This window comes from Homo sapiens, chromosome 10, assembly GCF_000001405.40.
Source record: "Homo sapiens chromosome 10, GRCh38.p14 Primary Assembly".
NCBI lineage: Eukaryota > Metazoa > Chordata > Mammalia > Primates > Hominidae > Homo > Homo sapiens.
The window spans coordinates 58,268,209-58,290,683 of NC_000010.11; the positions used below are offsets into that span (position 1 = coordinate 58,268,209).

The window sequence follows — 22,475 nt, forward strand, 5'->3', positions numbered from 1 at the left end:
CTCATTCATTCAACACGCTTCTCAGCGCGTCAGCTCAGAGAAGCCAGGGACTTCTAAGTGTGCGGAGCAGTCCGGCAAGAATTGGAAGGCACTAGCATTGCCAAGGGTGGCTCTAAAGGCCACCCCTAACTGCACTCAACTCCCTCCAACTCCCACCCCGCACGAAAACAACAGAAGTAAAAGCAGGCAGCTTATTAGAGATGCGCCTTCAAAATACCCTTCGAGTTAATCTCAGCCCCCCTCCCCGGATTGCTGTCTCTAAACCGCTCTTACCAAAAAGTAAAACACATAAAAATAAAATAAAATTGGAACCGACACGAATTTCAGACTGTAGAAGACAGAGAAAACTTCTAATTTTTTTAAGTGAACATGTTTTTTAAAGAAAGGAGCAAGTTTTTTCTCTCCCACTCGACCTTTAAGATAGTGCAGGTTCCAAGGTCCTGAGTAGATAATTATATCAAAAGCAGAAAGGGATGGACACCGGTAGCTACGCGAGGTTCTGGAATGGGACTCAGTCATTGATTCCTGTATGTCCGCCGCTGGCATGTTATATAAAAGCTGGACCTGGCCTTGAAGGTAAATCGTCACAAGCCCCGAGCAAGAAAAACTGGGGTCAAATCTTAGGTATCTGATTAAAGTAAGTGTCCTATTAACACCTGTTTCTGCCCCCAGAAGCCCACACACCTGGAAGAGACGTAAAATCTGGCCTGGATTCCCTAATCCCAGGGCCCTGCCCCTCGGCTTCAGGGCCCCGCCCCTCGGCTTCAGGGCCCCGCCCCTCGGCGTTGCGCAAACTCTGTTGCTACCTAAGTCTTTTCCTCCTCCCACCTCCCGTAGCTGTCAAAATCCGGAGTCCAGACTTCCTTATGGCCAGGACAGCTCCACGCATGCTCAGCACCTACCAGGGTCGAGCTCACACACGTGCCTACGACCCGCCGCGGCGCCTGCGCGGTAGCATCGCGGAGTCGGTGCTTTAGTACGCCGCTGGCACCTTTACTCTCGCCGGCCGCGCGAACCCGTTTGAGCTCGGTATCCTAGTGCACACGCCTTGCAAGCGACGGCGCCATGAGTCTGACTTCCAGTTCCAGCGTACGAGGTGAAGTGGGGCCTGGGAGCGGGTGAGGCTGGTGAGGCTCAGCGGTTGCCGCGCCCGCAGTTCGACTGGGTTGTTTTACCACTGCCCTACGCGCCCGCCGGTCCTATAACCTTGAGATGCAGAAGGGCAAGCGCTCGGCCCGGCTGCGGGCTCCGGGCCGGACAGCGAAAGGGGGCGAGGTCAGGGATGGATTGATGGTTTGGGGCCATGCCGGACCAGAGTCCACGTTTACCCCAGCTAGCCAAACCCTAACACCTAATGACCGCGCCGCTAGCTTTTCTTGTTCACCCCTAAGACGCTTTCATGTCCTTAAGTCACATAGCCTGGAAAAGAAGGAAAGGTGGGAGAAAACAACAGCAAACCTGTTTGCCCTTCTCATGTTTCAGTCAGCGTCGGGCCACAACGTCGATTTCCTGCAATCCTGAAGCATTGCGTGACTAATCACATCTTAGTTTTGCAGATTTTTTTTTAAGGGATGAAACGCAATCCGAGGTTTTCAGTTTTCCCGGTTTTTTATTATTCCTCTGGCATCTGACACTCGGTGGCAGTAGTCCAGGATAAAGGATTGAAAACTGCGTTCGTTGAACCTTCAGCTTTCTGAGTCTTCTTTCCCCTGTGCTAGTACCTAGCGTTTGGAAACAGTATTTCGCAGAAAGTCCCGTTATAATAAAATTAAGAGACTTTATAAGCAGTCATTTAATGTGGAGTTTCACTTTATAACCATTCTTGGTGATGTTATAATTGTTAATATAATACTGTGTACCAGACACACAATATATGTGATCTTTGCCCCTCTATAAAACGCCACTTCGCAAGGTTTTGAGTAAAGGCAAAGAGACTGTCTAGAGGTTAATTAAAAATACGTTCAGTAAATATTGAACATCTGTAGTGCCAGGTAATAAAAAGTCCCTACTAACTTGAGCCCTAATTTTTTAATAGGTAGTTTCCAAAAATTGGAGAGTTCCACTTCTGTTGACAAAATTTACCTGGCTAAGGGTGATATTCCATGACATTTCGAAGTTACTAATGATATAGAGATTATTATTTGCAAAAATTATATTAAAGGATACTCATCTTGAGACTTTTTTTAATAGAGGCAGCTTGGTGCATTTAAAATAGGGTGTGATTTTTGTTTTTGTTTTTTAAAAAACTATATTCTCTTGGGATTAAGACTTGTGAAATGAGATGTTCATGTGACTTGTGCCGCTGATATTTTTAATTTTACAGGAAGACTGCACATGTTTGAGGTGGACCAAAAGATTCCACAGTGTGTGTTTAAAATACGGGATCATTTTGTGTACATGAACACTAAACTCTATTTAGGTTGCATATTATTGAAATGTGAAACGGGTGAACCCCTTAGGACTTACCGCTATCTGCAGGCTGGTCTGCAGGATTTCTTTTTTAGACAAGACAAGGTTTTTTGTTTTGTTTTGTTTTTCAAGTCTAACCATAGGGGAATTCAAAGGCAACTTTCCCAATCATTTTCCATTGCCTAAGGAATAGGAAATCACTGAAGCAGGTTATTGGCTTCAACTGGAAGTATTCAACTTTGTTAGGAGGAGTGATTATTTTTTGAGACAGAGTCTCACTCAGTGGCCCAAGCTGGAGTGCAGTGTTGTGATCATAGCTCACTGCAACCTTGAACTTCTGGGCCCAAGCCATCCTTTCTCCTTGGTCCCCTGGCTTCCCAAAGTGCTGAGATTACATATGTGAGACACCACACGTTGCCATGACTATTTTTTTTTTTTTTGAGGCGGAGTCTCGCTCTGTCGCCCAGGCTGGAGTGCAGTGGCGGGATCTCGGCTCACTGCAAGCTCCGCCTCCCGGGTTCATGCCATTCTCCTGCCTCAGCCTCCCAAGTAGCTGGGACTACAGGCGCCCGCCACTACGCCCGGCTAATTTTTTGTATTTTTAGTAGAGACGGGGTTTCACCGTTTTAGCCGGGATGGCTCTCGATCTCCTGACCTCGTGATTCGCCCGCCTCGGCCTCCCAAAGTGCTGGGATTACAGGCGTGAGCCACCGCGCCCGGCCGACTATTTTTTATTTCACCAAAAAGCATGCAAGTTGTCATGAGGACTGTAGGGAGAGGCCCAAAGCCTTTGTAAATCTCTTCTACCAACATTTTCCTCCTCAATATAGTAGTAGGTAGGCAAGGTAGGGAAAGAGAATGTCGAGGGGATTTAACTTTTAATGTTTAGATCACACACAAGTTTGGTTCTCTTCTCAAACTTTAAACCAAGTTTATTCCTACAGATTGAAAATCAATTTAGATCTTTTAATTGGGGGAAAGATATCATGTCTCTTCTCAATTAAATGAATTTGTAATTATAAAGGGTTTAGAATGATATGTGACAGTGGTAAGCACTATATAAATATATGTTAAATATAAAGTGTGTACGTGTATGCAGAACTCTTGTTCATCATCAGAAGAAAAATAAAAGGTAGTTTATAAAAAAAAATTTAACGGGAATCAGGCCAGGACTGGAATCAGGCAGAGGCAGTGAGAATGAATGATTGGAACTGAAATACTCTTAAGATCCTGATCATTGAGATAGCTCTTGATACCAGTATGGTCGATAAGACCATTAGTTTATTATATTTTCTAGTACTAAGTGGCCTTCACTGCCTACTCGTCCAGTCTCTTATGATTCCTCCTCATATCCAAATAGATGACCTTTCTGAACATCATCCTGCTCCTTGATAACTCTAGCACTCATTGATCACTCTCACCCTTAACCCTTTCTCTTCTATTTGCAAGGAAGATGTTAACTCTTAGGCTGTTCTCTCTCCATGTCCTCCAGATGCCGTTTTCTTTTGCTTAAATCTTTGCCTCAGTGATATCTGTTGTTCGTAAATATTTAGTGCCTCATAAAGATTTTCTTCAGCCTTAAGTCACTCATAATTCACCCTCATCTTTAAAAAAAAAAAAAAGCCAACTATACCAGGTAATTTTGAAAGGCATCCCTTAACCTGCCTTCCCCTGAAATCACTTTTTTTTTTTTACTTTACCCTCAAGTTGCAACATAGGGATTTGTCTGTTCATCTTGTACTTCATTATCTATCCCAAACCCTGATCACTACAACGCTTGTAACCAAAATTACATTTCATAAATTCTTATTCTCTTTCATATTCTTGTGTATTTTATTGAAACTAATTTTCTAATTCATTTAACCACAACATAGGAAAATATTGTTTTGGTTCACTAAATTCACCAAGTCATTTAAAGTCATTATTTAAGGGTTTTTGTCTGAAAAGAAAGGTATGGATCATACTGAAAATAAAAGGGATAGCTCCTATAAGTTATAAACAATAAATGAAAAATAAGAGGGCTGGGTGCGGTGGCTCACGCCTGTAATCTCAGCACTTTGGGAGGCCAAGGCGGGCAGATCATGAGGTCAGGAGTTCGAGACCAGCTTGGACAACATGGTGAAACCCCCGTCTCTACTAAAAATACAAAAAATTAGCCAGGCATGGTGGCACGCATCTGTAGTCCCAGCTACTTGGGAGGCTGAGGCACGAGAATTGCTTGAACCCAGGAGGCAGAGGTTGCGGTGAGCTGAGATTGCACCACTGCACTCCAGCCTGGGCAACAGTGCGAGACTCCATCGCAAAAAAAAGAAAAATAAGGGGGGAGTTTGGAGCTATAGACTGGCCAAATTGATGGTGGTTAGAGCTAATTGAGGGTAAATGGGATTCATTATAGTATTCCCTGTGTGTGTCTGAAATGGTCCATAATAAAGTTTTTTTAAAACATAGCTTCTTATATATACCTGAAGTTTTTTGTTTGTTTGTTTGTTTGTTTTTAATATATGTATCAGGGAGTAAATTCCACACCCTGATACAGCAGGTTAAGAAGAAGGTAAAGATAAGTCATTTAGTATAAGAGCAATGCAGTGTAAGGATAGAAAAATTGCACATAGGAATTGCAAATTTAAATTAGTCATCCATTATTTCTTTTGACTCAACCAACATTATTGAATATCACTTATATGCCAGGCCTTGAGAAAAAAAAAAATTACCAGGCACGGCCTGCCAGCCTATGGGAGATCTAAGGGAGGGAAGGGTTTAAGCACAGCTCCCCTCCCCCTCTCCTCATAGAAGAGGAGAAACATTATGATTCTATGGCAGTTGATGGTGGGCTGGAGAGGGCAGTTTAGAGCAGAAAAGGGGCTAAGGTAAAAGAAGCCGAGAGAGATTTCTAAGTTAAAGCAAAATAATGCTCACAGTAAAAGAAAAAAAAAAAGCTGAAGATTGGGTTATATACAAGGCTGATGAGTTTGGGAACAAGTCCACGTTTTCTCTCTCTCTGAATAATTTTAAAGAGAAAACCAAAGATTATACAATAGTACTCCAATGGAAGAATAAGCAAATGGGAGGATTATTCAGAAATTATTGGAAGTGTTACCTTTCTCTACATTTGTGATCTTTAATGGTATTTGTGTAGATATAAAGCATGATTACACAAGGTCTGGTAGGGTGAGGTTTGACCTAACTACAGGAATTAACTGTCCTTGAGAAATGTCTATAGAAAAGAAAAGCGAGGGCTGGTCATGGTGGCTCATGCCTGTAATCCCAGCACTTTGGGAGGCCGAGGCAGGCGGATCACCTGAGGTCAGGAGTTCAAGACCGGCCTGGCCAACATGGTGAAACCCCATCTCTACTAAAATTACAAAAATTAGCCAGGTGTGGTGGTGGGCGCCTGTAATCCCAGCTACTTGGGAGGCTGAGGCAGGAGAATTGCTTGAACCCAGGAGCAGAGGTTGCAGTGAGCTGAGATTGTGCCATTGCACTCCAGCCTGGGCAACAGAGCAAGACTCCATCTCAAAAAAAAAGAAAAAAGAAAAAAGAATTGGGTCTCAGTAAAGTTCCTTGTTGCTTCTGAGATTATGACAATTCTTAATAGGCATATACCCATTTATCAGGGATTATTGGATGTTGCTATTTTTATTTGTTCAATTTCTCAGGTCTTCAGTTCTTTCTTTATCCTAATTGTTGATTTTTGGACCTGTCATCATTTTTGTCTATCTCTGTATAGTTTCCTTTTCCTTTAGAGTTGCCAGTGGCATCCACAGCTTTTTGCCAGAAAAGACTGATGATTCAGGCTACACTCATGAAGTGATAAAATAACAACTTTTTTTTTTTTTTTTTTTTTTTTTTACTTCTGGGAACTGTTGCATTTGTCCCTAATGAGATTACAGAATTAGAATTTGGGAAGGGAAAAAAAAAAAAGAAATGGAAATTGTTTTCTCAAGACCTTAGAGCAAATACAAAGCTATTTTCCTCGAACACATGGTACTGTGACATTGGCATAGGGTCATAAGTGGCCCTTGCTAGGGGTTGGGGGTAGAGCACAAAGTGTGTGTTTTGATTCCCCATGGGGCAGCTAGTCTTGGGTATCTGGAGTCAGTTTCCATTTCTTTCAATGATGCCTTTGGTGTTACCCCTTTTCCATGTCAGTTATTCTGTCCTGTCTCCCACCATCACAAAATCCAAGGGAGGTAAAGCTTAAAAAAAAAAGTGACCTGTGGGTGCAGTTGGCAAATTACATGAGAAAAAAGAATGCAAGAAGAATGGGATTTAATGACTAGGAGAGATTATTTTCACTTATCATGATGAGTTTCATGTAGAAATTCCTATAGTATTCTCTTTTTAGGTCATGAAACAAATTAACCAATACTAACCAATTGTAGTTCTTTGGATCTCAGGACTGTTTGCAATATGCAGGTGCCATCAAACAAATATGTTATGAAGTACTTTATAATTCACCTAAAAAGTAAAGTGTAACTAAAATCGACAGCATTAAGGAAGTTGCGTTATTTTAGTCTTTTGGGATATTGCCCCCCTTTAAGTTTGTACTAAAGATGATGTTCAGCAAATGTTGTGGTGCATATACTATGCAAAGCAGCATTTTCGCCCATTTTGTGATAGGTACATTAGCTATTCAGAGTGGCTTTCCATTAGCTAAGAAGTGGATTGCTACAGCTCCTGGCATAGGAAATGTTTTCTCAAGAAAGTTCCATGGTAAATAACATTAGAAAGGAAGATCATGAATCTAGCCAGAAGTCATAGCAAAATTGTAGACCTGCTTGGAATAACCACAGGGTAATACCATGAAGCAGCACTAAAGTTGGAGATAAATCTACACATAATGTGTACCTACTTAAAAAATGTCTTCTGATGAGGCCAAAGGTTTGAAGCTGTCAGGTGATATATTAACTTAACTTGTCTTCTCAGTCATGCAGGACCTGGGAAAGACGAAACATTAGTGTTTATTAGGGAATTATAGCAAGAAAGAATGATAATGCTACGGGAAGGAAAACAGTATAAATTAATTTGTTAAGAAAAATACTACCGTGGTTGAAAATAAAATCCAAGGAACACATTAATTAGAAAGTGAGGATAAACCGGAAGAGGCAGAAATTATGCTCTCTTACGAGATGAGCAAAATGCAGGAATAAGTTAGATAAAGTCTAAATTATTAAATAAACTAGAAAAGAAGACCAAGATACAAGAGACTGAGAATGATCCTTTATATTACAGTTTTAGAAGATTAAGCTCCAGTTTTATGTAAGGTACTATTAGGTATGGTGAAATAAGAAATTTGACTCAATAGTGCAAGTAAACTATACAACTAATTATTAATTATGTGTTTTTATTTGGCCTTGGGATGTGTTTTTTTGTACTTGTCTGTCTAGGGTTTTATTTGATAGTCTGGGAACTTATTTCAAACACTGAAGATCTGACTCAGGAAGTGCTGGGAAGGAGTCCAGTGTGTTTATCCTGACCCCTGTTCAACTTCTTCCTGCAGCCCACTCCATGCTGGGAATAGACAACTCTCCTCTGAGGCTGAGGCTAACCAGATTATGCAGAACTTTCTTCTCTCCAACATTGCCTGGAGCTGGGGTAGTTGTTAAGTCCTTGGGTTTCTAAAGACTTGAAAAGCTGCTTGAAAAGAATAACTAGATGGCTTGTTAGTCAGTTTTTTTATTATTAGAAAGCAGAATAATGCCATTAAATTTAAAATAAATTTTATAGAAAATTAAAATATATTTAGAATTTATTAAATGAGAATATAACTATACTTATATAATCATGTTTTCTACAAAATATGAAGTTAGTACATTCTGATTTTTATTTTAATGAGAAAACACTTTGAAATTTTAAACAAAGGACTTTTGAATGAAGAATGACTTTGAAACCTGGAATCCTGCTACATATATTCCTTTGAAAATTAACATTAAGGGTGGTTTTGTTTTGTTTATCTGTTTCTTTGGGTATCATTTCTCTTACAGCTTTCTGTGATAGTTGCAATTGAGTTTTGGTAAATTAAATAATTTAAAAATCACTAAGGGATCTTACTATTTAAATAAACTCAAAGGAGTCATTTTGTTAACATAACAAAATGTTATTTGTAATCTGAATTTTTATGTTTCGGGGCTTTTTTTTTTTTTAAGCAATAGTTACCTGCAAGTTCACATGTTATTTAAAATTTACTTATAAACACTTTTTAAATGATTATTGAGCTTTGGGTTTTTTTTACTCCAGCTCTAAAATAATAATTTTAAGTTTCTTCTACTTAATGTAGCTATCATCACTCAGTAGAAAATACACAATTGCTTCAATAAGGGCCAGGGAAAGTCATAACAAAGGACTATTATACCAGTGTTTTCTGATCATTTTGTTAACATTAAAAACCTTGGACTATTAGGATGCTTAATACTCAAAAACTGGATTTTCTGACATGCATGTGATATTATTGGTGTATATTTTGGTTTTGATAATTATTTGTTTTCCTTCCCTGCTCTAGTTGAATGGATCGCAGCAGTTACCATTGCTGCTGGGACAGCTGCAATTGGTTATCTAGCTTACAAAAGATTTTATGTTAAAGATCATCGAAATAAAGCTATGATAAACCTTCACATCCAGAAAGACAACCCCAAGATAGTACATGCTTTTGACATGGAGGATTTGGGAGATAAAGCTGTGTACTGCCGTTGTTGGAGGTCCAAAAAGGTGAGGAAAGCAATTCCTTCATACAGTACCATTTTTAATGTTATATTTCTTTTTAAATTATTCTGTCAGACTTGTTCACCAGATATTGTTATGATATCCCTTTTTTGTTGTTGTTGAGACAGAGTCTTGCTCTGTCATCCAGGCTGGAGTGCAGTGGTGTGATCTCAGCTCACTGCAACCTCCACCTCCCGGTTCAAGTGATTCTTGTGCCTCAGCCACCGAGTAGCTGGGATTACAGGTGTGAGCCACCACGTGTGACCTGTTATAATATCACTTTTTCTTTCTTTTTTTTTTTTTAATGAATCCTATTCTTCTTTGCCTTCCATATGCTCTTAAAGAAATATATTTTCTAAAATATCTAACCAGTATGCAGTAGAATTACGTTGTACCCTCATCGAGTTCAGGCAGATTTAACCATATTCTTGGCCAAAGAAAAGAAGAAAATCCCTTTAATTTGCTCTTAGGATTTCTTAGCTTCCACTGTCCCAGAAAGTGAAGTGTACAGCCTAATCACAAAGAGAAGCAGAAGAAGTAAAAATTTTTTTTGAGCTTTCAAGCACCAGATACTAAGACAAGTGTTAGAAATTTGAAAAGAAACTTCTTTAAAATCACCCGTAAAAACTTATGTGGTAAATGTCCTATACCTTCTTTCAGCTGCAACTCCTCTAGTTAAATATCTAACAATATAGGATCCTAAAATCTTATTTTCTTATATGAGAATTGTATTTTATCAAGTCCCTTTTGGAGGTGTCATCTATGAAACCTGCAGGTTTTAGACATGATGGCAGCTAGTGATCCACAGTTGATAAAATACTGTCTCGAGCATCTCAAAAGGATTTGTACACCGAATGACTTCAGGATTTCTGGTGTGTTGTGAGAAATATGGTATAAACACTGTACTATCACTCTTAGCATTCAAATAAAATGGATTTCAGCAGGGCGTGGTGTCTCACACCTGTAATCCCAGCACTTTGGGTGGTTGAGGCAGATCACTTCAGCCCATTAGTTCAAGAGCAGCCTGGGCAACATAGTGAGACCATCTGTTGAAAAAAAAAATAGCCAGGCATGGTGGCATGCACCTGTAGTCCCAGCTATTCAGGAAGCTGAAGCAGGAAGATCACTTGAGCCCAGGAGGTTGAGGCTGCAGTTAGCTGTGATTGCATCACGCTGTGATTGCATCACACTGCGTTCCAGCGACAGAATGAGACCCTGTCTCAAAAAATAAAATAAAATACAATGAAAAAAATAATGTTAAAGGGCCCCCAAAAAAATCAATAAAAATGATGTATCTGTTTTTGAAAGCACGTTATGTTGGGGATCTCTCCCCATAGTAGAGGGTCATTTTCGCAAATAACTTGTCACAAATATGGAAGAAGCCACATACTAGGTACAGGTTGAGCATCTCTAATCCAAAAATTTGAAATCTGAAATGCTCAAAAATTTGAAATATTTTGAACACTGACATGACACCACAAGTGGAAAATTCCATACCTGACCTCATGTGACAGTTCACCGGTTGAAGTCAAAACACAGACGCAGAGGACACAGTTAAGTCAGTGACCCAAAGGGAAAAAAAGGCCCCCCCAGCTGCTGATGTAGGTATTCTGGTGGTGCTATTATGCTGCTTAATTTCCCAGAGCACTTTTTTTGTTAACTGAATTAATGGTATGTTATGTTTTTTACTGTTAAGTACTGACATGTGAATACATGCAAGAAAATGATTGCTTATCAGTAGCATATAAATTCATAGTCGGGAATGATGGTGATACAAGATAACCACAGATAGTCCACATGTGTGACTAAGATGGTGACACCTTTGCTTTCTGATGGTTCCTTGTATACAAACTGTTTCATTCACAAAACTATGTAAAATATTGTATAAAATTACTTTCAGGCTACATGTATAAGGTATATATAAAACATAAGTAAATTTTGTGTTTAGGCTTGGATCCCATCCCCAAGATAACCTCATTATGTATATGCAGACATTTCAAAAGTTGAAAAAATCTGAAATCCAAAACATTTTGGATTTCAGATTTTCTTTTCATTTTTATGAAAAGTCCCAAGCATTTATTTTCATTTTTTATGACAAGTATTTCAGATAAGGATTACTCAACCCATACTAGAAAGCATATTTCACTCCTTTCTCCCAATAAATCCAGTGATAAAGTACTTAGATTATGCCATTTTGTTCAAAAATTCCTTGATGACTATATTGAATATAAACCAGAAATTAATAGGCTCATTACAACAAATTATGAAGAGCACTATTCATTTGGAATTTGAAATTGTTGATAAGTACTGGTGGGGTTACTAGAAAATAATAAAGTAATCTAGAAATTGTGGAATTTCTAAGTTGGAGTTTTATAGTTCCTTAGTGATCTTCAGTAGTTCATTTACTATCTACTATATATGCATGCGTGAGAAACATTAAAGAGTAAAACAGCAGATGTCACAGATGTATATAGTACATGCAGTGTAAGTGGTCTAAATAAATGGAAGCTAAAAGGAAGAAATTACACCATGAGGCTGGGTGCAGTGGCTCACACCTGTAATGCTAATACTTTGAGAAGCCAAGGCAGGAGGATCACTTGAGGCCAGGAGTTCAGTACCAGCCTGGGCAACATGGTGAGACCCAGTCTCTGTTTTTTGTTTGTTTTTGTTTTTTCTTAATTAAAAAAACATCACATCTTCTGGGAAAGCATAGTCATATACTTGGGAGTTAAATTGCTCTGAGAAAAATTGGTAACATTTGAATAAACTGCATATATTGGAGACTCTCAAAATCTGCAAGGAAGGACTTGTGAACAAAGGTGAAATGAATAAAGAATCTAGTCTGGTTCTTGTACTGCCCTTCCCCAAGGAATAAATCTAAACTGAGGACAATCTTGAGGACCAGTGTGAGGAGTCTGTGACTCCAGACATGGGGAGCTCCTTGACAGGGGTTTCAAACATAGAGTTATGATACTTTTACCGGGGTGCTAGCTATGGAAATGGAGACAAATGATCAGAGACATAAAAGATTTCGGGGAAAGGATCAGCCAAATGCACTGACTTCTGTGTGAAAGACTAGGGGAGAAAAACTAAAGCTCATTGAAGGATCTAAGCATGTAGGATTAGAAGAGGGTTATGCCATTAACAGAAATAAGAGATTCGAGGTAAAAGGCAAATTTTCCAGGACAGCGATAAGGAGTTCTGTTTCAGAGAGTGAATTTGAGATGATAGTTGAATGGAAATGCACAGCAGACAACACGAAATGTGAGACATCAGGGTTGGAGATAGAGATCAGCAAAACTGATGAGTCAAGTGTAGGAATGCAACTGATCTTTGATATGGATAAAAATCAAGGGCTAAATATGAAATCTTGGGGAATTTTCTGCATTTTGGAAGGGGGACAAGAGCCATTTAAGGAGATGGAATGGGCCAGAGAGGTTAGAATAAAACTAAAAATATCATAGCTTCAAAGTAGAAGAGGGAAAAGTTTCAATGATCTGGTACTGAACATTGGCCTGTGCAAAGACAGCTACATGAATAGACAAGACTATTAGATTAAGCAATTGCCATTTTGGTGTCATTTCAACGGAGTAATTAGAATAGAAGCTATGTCCATGTGAGTTAAAGTGCAAATTAACTAATAAAGAAACGACAGAAGTCTATGTCATATTTTCCGTAGATGCAACAGTGAATGGAAAGAAAAGTAACATAATTGCTTGAGTGAACACTACAGCTTGGCTTTGAGATCAAGTAAAGGGTGTTTGCTTTGATTGGGTTTTCCCAGAGGGCAAAGAATCCAATAAACTAAATATGGGCTTTCATGAACTAAGATCTCAAATATTTCAGGAAGAATCACCAGTGGACACAAACTAGTGGTGTAAATGTTTATTAGACTTTATAATTCAAAACATTCCAGGATTATTCTTTCATTTTACAATTTAGAGTTTCCAGATGGTTAGGCCAGGGACTGCCATTTCCTGTAGGTGGACTGAGAGAGGACTAAGAGAGGGAATGAGACCAGTCATTTTATTTCCAGTTTTCTCATGCCTTTTTTTCCCCCTCTGGCTTATCTTTTATGCTGTTTAGTGATCCTCTTTGTGTCTTGAATTTGTCAGTTCTGAATTTTCATTGCATCTTGGGCACTTATTCCTGCATTAATCAATTAACAGTTTGCTTTGAATATTACCCAAGTTAACAAATGTTGTTATTCTTCAGAGACTTTTGGAAACTCCCCACATTCCTGTGGTTCTAAGGTTATCACACAGGTGCCAAGTCACACACTTAAACGCCAGTTCACAAAGACTAATTAATACCTTTGATTAAGTGGCTACATTGAGTTTATAGTCAGTAATTTTTCCCTCATACAAACCAGTTGTATTTATAACAAAATTTAAACATCATTTTACCAATGGAAAAAATGTTATATGCGATACAAATTTCAAATCTAATTCATTCTTAAGGTGCAGTCACTAGTAACCTGTTGTGTGTCTGTAACATCTTGAGCAGGTTTCCCAACCCTAATGAATCAGATTTCTTAGTAATGTGCAGAAATTACATTTTTTAAAAACATATCCCTCCCTTTTGTCCAGTGCTTCTCTTGCCAGCATTGGTATGTCATCTGATGTTTCAGAAATTGGCTTGGCTTTTTTTTTTTTTCTTTTTCTTGAGAGAGTCTCACTCTGTCACCCAGGCTGGAGTACAGTGTCGTGATCTCAGCTCACTACAACCTCCACCTTCTGGGTTCAAGCAATTCTCGTGTTTCAGCCTCCTGAGTAGCCGTGATTACAGGCATGCACAACCATGCCTGGCTAATTTTTGTATTCTTAGTAGAGACAGGGTTTCACCATGTTGGCCAGGCTGATCTTGAACTCCTGACCTCAAGTGATCCACCCGCCTTGGCCTCCCAGAGTGCTGGGATTGCAGGTGTCATCCACTGTGTCCGGCCCAGAAATTGGTTTATTTTATAGTACAGGCTTCCCTCGGTGTCCATGGATTGGTTCCAGGACCTCCCATGGATACCAAAATCTGAGAATGCTCAAGCCCCTGATTTAAAATGACAGTATTTGCCTATAAGCTATGCACATAATCCTGTATACTTTAAATTATTACGTCATCTCTTGATTGCAAATAATACCTAATACAGTGTGAATGCTATGTAAATAGTTGTTATACTGTATTGTTTAGAGAATAATGACAAGGAAAAAAGTGTACATGCTCAGTACCCATACAATTATTTTAGCGAGTATTTTCTATCAGCAGTTGGTTGCATCCATGGATGTGGAACCCACAGATACAGATGGGGCCAATTGTATTTCACAAAAGGGCTATCCATATTTGAAGTGAGAATGAAAGGAGCCAGTATAGAGGAAATGATTAAAGTGACTACAGGGAAAGATACTATTTGAGTCAGCGGTATCTTGACAAAGGGTGGAAGGAAATGAGAGTAACAGCACAGATGTGAAACTCAGCCTTAAAAAGGAAGAGATAGTCTTACTTTCGAAACAAGAAGATGAAAGGACTCTGATGTAAGAGGGAAGGGTATGGGATGTAGTATTGCTAGGTTCCTTTCCCTGCAACTTCAGGTTGGTTACATCACTTGCTGAGTTGTATGACGGCCACCTAGGAGGCAGTTCAAACAAGGACAGCAAAAGAATACAGACTAAGAAGAAAGAGAGGAAAGTCTTACCAGTTAACATCAGGAGCTGAACTGAAATTGAAATGAAATGCAACTGGACATGTTTAGACTCATTTTCTTTCATTTACAGGGTAAGATTTGAGTTAATGATACTTTTGTTTTGTCGTTGGTAGTAGGCTTGATCCTGGGTGTTTTTTTTTGGCGGGAGGGTGTTGGGGGAAAAAGAGAAATCCTCCATCCTGTTAATGGCTTAGAAGTGCATTTTACTGAGTCTTTCTTCATAAAAACGATATTCTGAATGTTGGTGACATTCCTTGGCCAATCCACATAAAGACAGTCTTATAAAAATCTTAATTTATCTTTGTACATTTTCATATTATAGCTACTGTCTTAGGTTTATTGAAATAGGTACATAAGAATGGTATAAAATGTCATAATCTCTAGGTTAGTCTCAAAAATCTCATTACTTCGTTTTCGTTCTCAACCAAAGCAAGCATATTTTTCTGGACAGTTTATGGTAATGAGCCAAAATGGTGCCAGGCAACTTCCTTGGGACAGAAAATCAAAACTCTAATACAAAGTACGAAGTTCAGAGAAGGAAGATAGTCTTTAAAAGAAAATTGTTTCAGGTGGAAGAGATAAGTCAAAGAGGAGCATTTATTAAAACAGAGGCATAACTTGAGATGTGGGGCCATTAAAAAGAAATGTTGTGTTTTTATGAAGATCCATATAGCATTGCTAGCTTTCCAGGTGGAGAGCAAGGACCTCCACTGTTTTTTCTACTAAAGCTTTATTCCAACTTCTTCTAACCCTTTCTTCCCCCACTTTTAAAGATATTTGGGATTTGTAGTGTTCAAATTGGGTTAACAAACATAAAAGGATGTTTTCTGGACATAAAGGAAATTTGATTTACAGACTTTTTCCAGGATTTGTTAATAAACAAACGCTGACATCTTAGAATAAATTAAGTATCAATACTACACGAACTGAATTTAATATTCTTTGTGTTTTTTTCATAATTTAAAACAATTTAACAAATTTCAAAATGTTTAATGAAAAAGTTAATAAAATTCTCATATTTTTGTACATTATTTAATGTAAAAATTACTGTACTTCCTACATTGTATTTGAAAGTATATAATGCCAGACACAGTCGCTTAGGCCTGTAATTCCAACACTTTGAGAATGTAACAGCCAATGTAGTGAAACCTTGTCTCCACAAAAAAATGCAGAAATTAGTTGAGTGTGATGGCATGCACCTATAGTCCTAGCTACTCAGGAGGCTGAGATGGAAGGATCCCTTGAGCCTGGGAGATTGAGGCTTCAGTAAGCTGCGATTGCACCACTGTGCAATCTAATTTAATCTCTTAAAAAAAAAAAAAACTGTATACCCACCACATATTATCTTTCTCCTGCATAGATCAGAAATAAAGCAAGACACATAAGGCAGTAATTCCTAGGGTTAAGTGATATAAAAAGTACTATTAAAAAATACGTCTCTGCACAAAATTATTTTTAACACCTAGTTTGCATTATAAAGGCATAAAAGCTTTATACACTTTAATCGCATGAAAGTTTATTAACAAATAACCAGGATAAACTACTCATTGCTTTTTAAAGAAATATGTGTTTGCTTTTAAGAATATGAAGAAACAGGCTAATTTCAGTTTTTAGGCAGAATTGGGTGATGAGAAAAAATGTATTCTCACTTTTGATATATGACTTTCTTTATATTTTGTAAGATTTTCTTTGTATATTTTTTCTATAGATTTCTCTCCTATTCTGTATATGGAGGAAAATAATTTGAGAAAATGTTAGTTTCTAATATTTTCAACATAAGATTAAAAAATAAAAGTTAAACATGCCATTTCAGTAAGTTATTTAGAAATATTTCATTTTTCAGAAATGTTGCCTGCATGGATTTAATTTATAGTGAAGTGTTTTGTGTGTGCTATTTATAAAAAGAGTCTTTACAATGTAAACTTTTATGCTCACTGTAAAATCATCTGTGTTTGTTTATTAAACATATGTCACTTTGAAATGCTGTACTTTGCTGTGGGATACATTTTAGTTTAATTTTTATCGCCTCTTTCCTCATCCATGCCAAGAAAAAACTGAAAGCTTGACTTTATGTTTTTGCATCAAGGCTTGTTTCTAATATGAATATACTGTGTACCACATCTTATTGACCTCAAAAAAAGAAATAATATAAACTTTACATATATTACATTTACACTGCCCTCTACGACAGGATAGAATTTATATCTGGAAATATAAGATATGCCAATACCTTGAGTTTTTCTGTAATTTTTAGCTAATTTAGTGCCTCTTGCAATTATTTACAGATAGATTAAAATTTGATTACTTTAACATTAAGTAGCCTTTTGGATATCAAAGTTTAAGATTAAATACCATCATTGTGAAGTTTCACTGATCTGTTATGCTCCCTTCACTGCACGTAATGAGGTACTTGTTACTCATAAGGCTAAGAATCCTCTTACTTTACTCTTCTAAATAGGCTTCTTCAAAGCAACAGTGTACCTTAGACTAAACAGTGAAACTCTAGATTCTAGAGTGTAGATACATTCAAAACACCAAGATTAAGGCAAAGATGCTAGCTCTTGTCATTTGACATGAAATAGAAATAAAAGATACAAATATAGAGAAACAAAAAAATTACTGATAATTATTCCTTCTAAGTGTAAAATCCTGAAGAGTTAAGTGAAATATTATTAAATTCTTATTTTTTCATTTTACAATAGAGGATATACTTGTTAAAAATGATTTTATATAGCAAGAATGTTCAGATATGAAAATAAATTATAATAGTGATTAAAAATATGACAGAAATAATCTTACCAGAATATACATGAGATCTGAGGATGAAAACTACAAAAGAAATTAAAACTTGGCAAAAAACATTCTCAAGCTTATCTGGAGGAATAAAGTGATAAAGTTTAATAAAGTTAACAGGCTGGGCGCGGTGGCTCACACCTGTAATCCCAGCACTTTGGGAGGCCGAGGCAGGCGGATCACGAGGTCAGGAGATCGAGACCATCCTGGCTAACACGGTGAAACCCCGTCTCTACTAAAAATACAAAAAATTAGCCGGGCGTAGTGGCGGGCGCCTGTAGTCCCAGCTACTCAGGAGTCTGAGGCAGGAGAATGGCGTGAACCCAGGAGGCGGAGCTTGCAGTGAGTCGAGATCGCGCCACTGCATTCCAGCCTGGGCGACAGAGCAAGACTCCGTTTCAAAAAAAAAAAAAAAAGTAAAAAAAAGAAACAATGAAGGAAAACTAGCCCTACAAAACACTGAAATGTTTAAAATGCAAATATCCCAGCGTAGTAGGCCGATCAACGTAACATAGAACCTATAAATAGGTGCTTTTACATGTAGAATTTATTTTGATAAAGTTACGAATAAAGGTAATAATGTGGGAAGCAATAGCCTCCAGTAATGCTGAAGCAACAGGATCTTAGAACAGCGTTTGCAAAGTGTGCTCTACAGAAAACTATGATAATAGAAATCAAAATTTAAAGTGTCCATAGTCCAGTCACCTTGAGAAACTCTGGGATAAAATTGTGTTTTTTATAGCAAAATTAAAATAATGTGTGCTGTGATTCAAATGGGCTATATGATATGTTTTTTTAACACAGAATGAAACCAAATCAGAGTGTCTTGCAGGATTCAGGTTCTTTGGACCACACTCTGCAAAACACTATGTTAGAAATTTAGTTTTGTCCCTCTCCCTCCCACTGGACACCAAAACAGCAGTTATATCTAAAATGTGAATTCATGAAAATGAATGGAAATTTGTATTTCTCACATCTCTAGAAGAAAGCTGTCTCCATGAATGATGTTAAAAAGGGAGATATTGACATATTTGTATGAAAGTGGAGAAATTGAGAATATGAAAAAATAAGCAAAATGAAAAGATTTGGGAAAGACTGCTGCAAAAATAACAGAGGAATAATATGCAGTTGATTTATTTTTTATTTTTTATTTTTATGTTTTTTGAGACCAAGGCTGGAGTGCAGTGGCACAATCTCGGCTCACCGCAACTTCCCCTCCCAGGTTCAAGCCTCAGCCTCCTGAGTAGCTGGGATTATGCGCACTCGCCACCATGCCTGGCTAATTTTTGTATTTTTAGTAGAGACAGGGTTTCACCATGTTGGCCAGGCTGGTCTTGAACTCTTGACCTCAAATGATCCACCCACCTCAACCTCCCAAAGTGTTGAGATTACAGGCATGAGCCATCGCGCCTGGCCGCAAATTGATTTTAAATAAATGAACTTAAACTCTTAGAAGTAAATAGGCAATGGACATGTTCACTAGAAAGGAATGTAACTAATATATAAACATAAGAAAGGCCTTCAACACTCATCACAATCACACTGAAATTCAATAAATGATGTGTGTATTATGCACAAGTCAATTTCTTCATCTTACTAAGTAGCATATGTAGTTTACATATGCTGTTTAAGAAAGCCTATATAAGATAGCCAAGAAAATCTTTATGTTATATGAATTAAGCATCACCTTCCACTCTGCCGAGCATAATACTGATTTTGAGATTAGATGTTTCACATTCATTCTTTCTCTTCCTAGTTCCCATTCTGTGATGGGGCTCACACAAAACATAACGAAGAGACTGGAGACAATGTGGGCCCTCTGATCATCAAGAAAAAAGAAACTTAAATGGACACTTTTGATGCTGCAAATCAGCTTGTCGTGAAGTTACCTGATTGTTTAATTAGAATGACTACCACCTCTGTCTGATTCACCTTCGCTGGATTCTAAATGTGGTATATTGCAAACTGCAGCTTTCACATTTATGGCATTTGTCTTGTTGAAACATCGTGGTGCACATTTGTTTAAACAAAAAAAAAAAAAAAAAGGAAAAACCAACCTGCATGGCCTGTGGGTTATTTTGGTCTTGTAAGGATCCATTTCTTTAAAATACTGACATATAGAGTTGTACCTTATATAGAATATAGTTGTATCTTGAAGTCAACATATTAAATTATTCTCAAAATTATGTATTTGCAGATTGTACTTGTAAGTTTCAAAGAAAAATTACCATCTTTTCATATTGACCTGGAAACTAAATAGGATGTGATTCAGCTACATTAATTTCTTAATACAATCTAGGAAAGACCTGTTGTAGCCTTGATTTTCTTGACATTGGTAATGACACTGAGAAAATATGGCTTCTGTTTTTCACCGTTTTCAATCAAAATGATTGATAAATGTTATTCTGTTTAATTTCATAAGTCAGGTCAATAATAAAGGGGTGGTAACTTCCTCATATTTATCTTCACAGATATTTAATGAAGATGGATCCATTAAAGGAGCCAATAGTGAAAATTTAGTTAAAGGTGATATTAGATTTAAATTAGTCATGAAGAATGTCTTAAAATCTAATGTTCCAGAATTCTGGCCCAAGGAATGGTAAGCACTTGAACTGAGGATTTTGAAGGAATTGGAACATATAATGTCAAGTCTTTTGATCACTAAGCCACATATCCTGACAGAAATAGTAGTCACAAGATTAGATCAAAGGCGTGGGAAGATTTTTTTTTTTCCCACTCTAGCTAATCAAGCACATGGCTTTTAAATTGTATGATCTTTTTCTTAAAAGCAAAAATTTGAAGACAAGTGTTTGTTTATGTAATATTCTTCAAAGACTCCGAGCAGAAACATTGCATTCATTGTTGATTCAGAAAAAAGAAAATATAAAAACTGAAAATAATTAGCAATAAAAGATTTAAGACAAATAGTTCATAAATATTTTTAAAGAGATTAGGTTTTTGAATTTCATAGGTTAGAAGGAAAATCATGGCAAAATTTACAGAAAATTGGGCAAACAATTGAAATTGATAAAGCAGGTAAACATCATCATTTATTTTAGTATACATGAATTCTCAGTAGTAGTCAATCACAAATTTCTACTTGCTAAAATCCATTTACCTTGACAGGAATCAAACCTGACAGCAGCATATCCTATGTAATATATGATCATGGCTATTTTTAAATATGTAGTTTTGTGTATTACTGTAGATAAAAGTTGGTAACAAAATTGTACAGTGGTTTTAAGAAGCCCATGTAACTAACTTGGACATGTCTTTAAGTCACATATTCATCATAAAATCTAAAATCCTACAAACTGATTCTATTAGATTCTTAGGGTAAATTTTTTCTTTGCCCACCTCCTTCTTTTTAAGATAAGTATGCATGTCAGCAAAACAGAGCAATCATGCTTTTAAAGATGAACTGTTTTAAAGAAAAATAAATGCATCAACTCCCAGTGTTTCTGATAAAGGGACATCCTTCTAACTTAACAGACTATTCTTTATCTTGAATTTGAAATTATATTGTTAGTCATGCATTTTTGTAATGTCAGGGGGAACCTGGTACCAGTTCTCAAAACTATAGGATTATATGAGTGTGTGTATACATATGGCAAAATTATAAATGACCACCTTACTGTGAAATATAGATCTTGAGCATTTTGAAAGGCCAAAATAATTAGGTAAATGTATTTTCAAGGTCATGTTAAAATGTTTACATGCTTTTGAACTAGCATTCATTTATGATTAAAACCCTTTTCAGGTTATTTGACCTAAAAACCAAAGTGAGTGTGGTTAGGTTAATATGAGATTTTTTTACACAAAAATCATTGTGTGCAATTACTGTTCTAGCTAAGCACCTTAATGCTTCTAAGTGCTTTTCATTTCGTTGAGGCAAGACAAGTGGGGCTTTCATCTTTTTTTTCTCTATGTCATTTATATTCTAGTTATTTCTGAAGAGTGTACTAGGTTGAGAAGTTTCTAATGTGAAAAATCTTGTTCATCTGTTCATGCAACAGACATTTATTAGGCATCTGTAGACCATATAATTGAGACAGAGAAACATTTTGGAGAATTAGAAGCTCACACTATTTATGGCATAGGTTATATAATTATGATAATTTATGATTTACTTTCTTGACAAAAACAGCTACAACCATGTATACCTACTATTTCTCCTACAAAGTAGGTGAGATTTTTTGATTTTACATTAGTTAGGGAGGTTTTTGATTTGGTTTTGCTTTAAGATAGGCATTGACTATAGCTTCTGATTAGCAACACACAGTATTTTGTGCTTGGGTATCTGTGAGGGTGTGTAATTCTAGTTGTCAGAAGCTGTGCTTTTTCTCCTTGATTTTAATACTAGCTGACCTCAGGCAAAGCCACTCACCTCTCAGCCTTTTAAATTGTGAAGTGAATGGACTAAATGGCATTTTAGGCAATTGTTCCCATATTCTAGGCCAACAGTAAATATTCAGCTCTCCTCAAAGGAAAAATATAAATAATGCTGATAGAAAGCTCAAATTTGATTTTTTTATTATGATTATTTCAGCTCTTATGGTATTTAAGTGTCTTTTATGAAATGTTGATTGTAGTAGCTTGGCAAAATAGTAAGGTGGCAGCCCAATGTTGATCCCTACTTTTTTTTTTCACTGCTCCATGGAATTTAAAAGTCTGGGAACCACTAAGCCAACATCCTATCTAAAGTTCTGAGACTTATTAAGGTATTAAAGTAACAGTTTTATTTTGAGATTTAGCTTGTGTTATATGGAATTTTTCATTAGCACAATGTGTTGAGGTGAGACTTCATGGAAAGTTACTGTAAAAAACAAAAAAAAGTCCTTACTTCCATTCAGTTTACCATCATGGATCCAAACTAAGG

The 22,475-nt window shown here is 37.1% G+C and overlaps 1 protein-coding gene across 1 annotated transcript, besides 4 other annotated features; it reads left to right on the plus strand.

The window, feature by feature from the left end:
• Nucleotides 660–1,216: an enhancer, noted in NCBI's record as "H3K27ac hESC enhancer chr10:60028628-60029184 (GRCh37/hg19 assembly coordinates)". NCBI's record gives its function as "activates a minimal SCP1, AML or CMV promoter by ChIP-STARR-seq in naive H9 embryonic stem cells {active_cell/tissue: H9 hESC(naive)}" and the evidence as "EXISTENCE:reporter gene assay evidence [ECO:0000049][PMID:30033119]".
• Nucleotides 682–741: a silencer, noted in NCBI's record as "silent region_2376". NCBI's record gives its function as "represses an Ori minimal core promoter by ATAC-STARR-seq in GM12878 lymphoblastoid cells {active_cell/tissue: GM12878}" and the evidence as "EXISTENCE:reporter gene assay evidence [ECO:0000049][PMID:35858748]".
• On the plus strand, nt 954–21,378 carry CISD1 (CDGSH iron sulfur domain 1). Its single transcript, NM_018464.5, has 3 exons — nt 954–1,096; nt 8,909–9,114; nt 19,353–21,378. The coding sequence occupies exons 1-3, from the start codon at nt 1,066–1,068 to the stop codon at nt 19,440–19,442; spliced, it is 327 nt and encodes a 108-aa protein (NP_060934.1). The 5' UTR covers nt 954–1,065; the 3' UTR covers nt 19,443–21,378.
• Nucleotides 1,062–1,111: an enhancer, noted in NCBI's record as "active region_3384". NCBI's record gives its function as "activates an Ori minimal core promoter by ATAC-STARR-seq in GM12878 lymphoblastoid cells {active_cell/tissue: GM12878}" and the evidence as "EXISTENCE:reporter gene assay evidence [ECO:0000049][PMID:35858748]".
• Nucleotides 1,332–1,381: a silencer, noted in NCBI's record as "silent region_2377". NCBI's record gives its function as "represses an Ori minimal core promoter by ATAC-STARR-seq in GM12878 lymphoblastoid cells {active_cell/tissue: GM12878}" and the evidence as "EXISTENCE:reporter gene assay evidence [ECO:0000049][PMID:35858748]".
• Nucleotides 21,379–22,475: the final 1,097 nt, after the last annotated feature.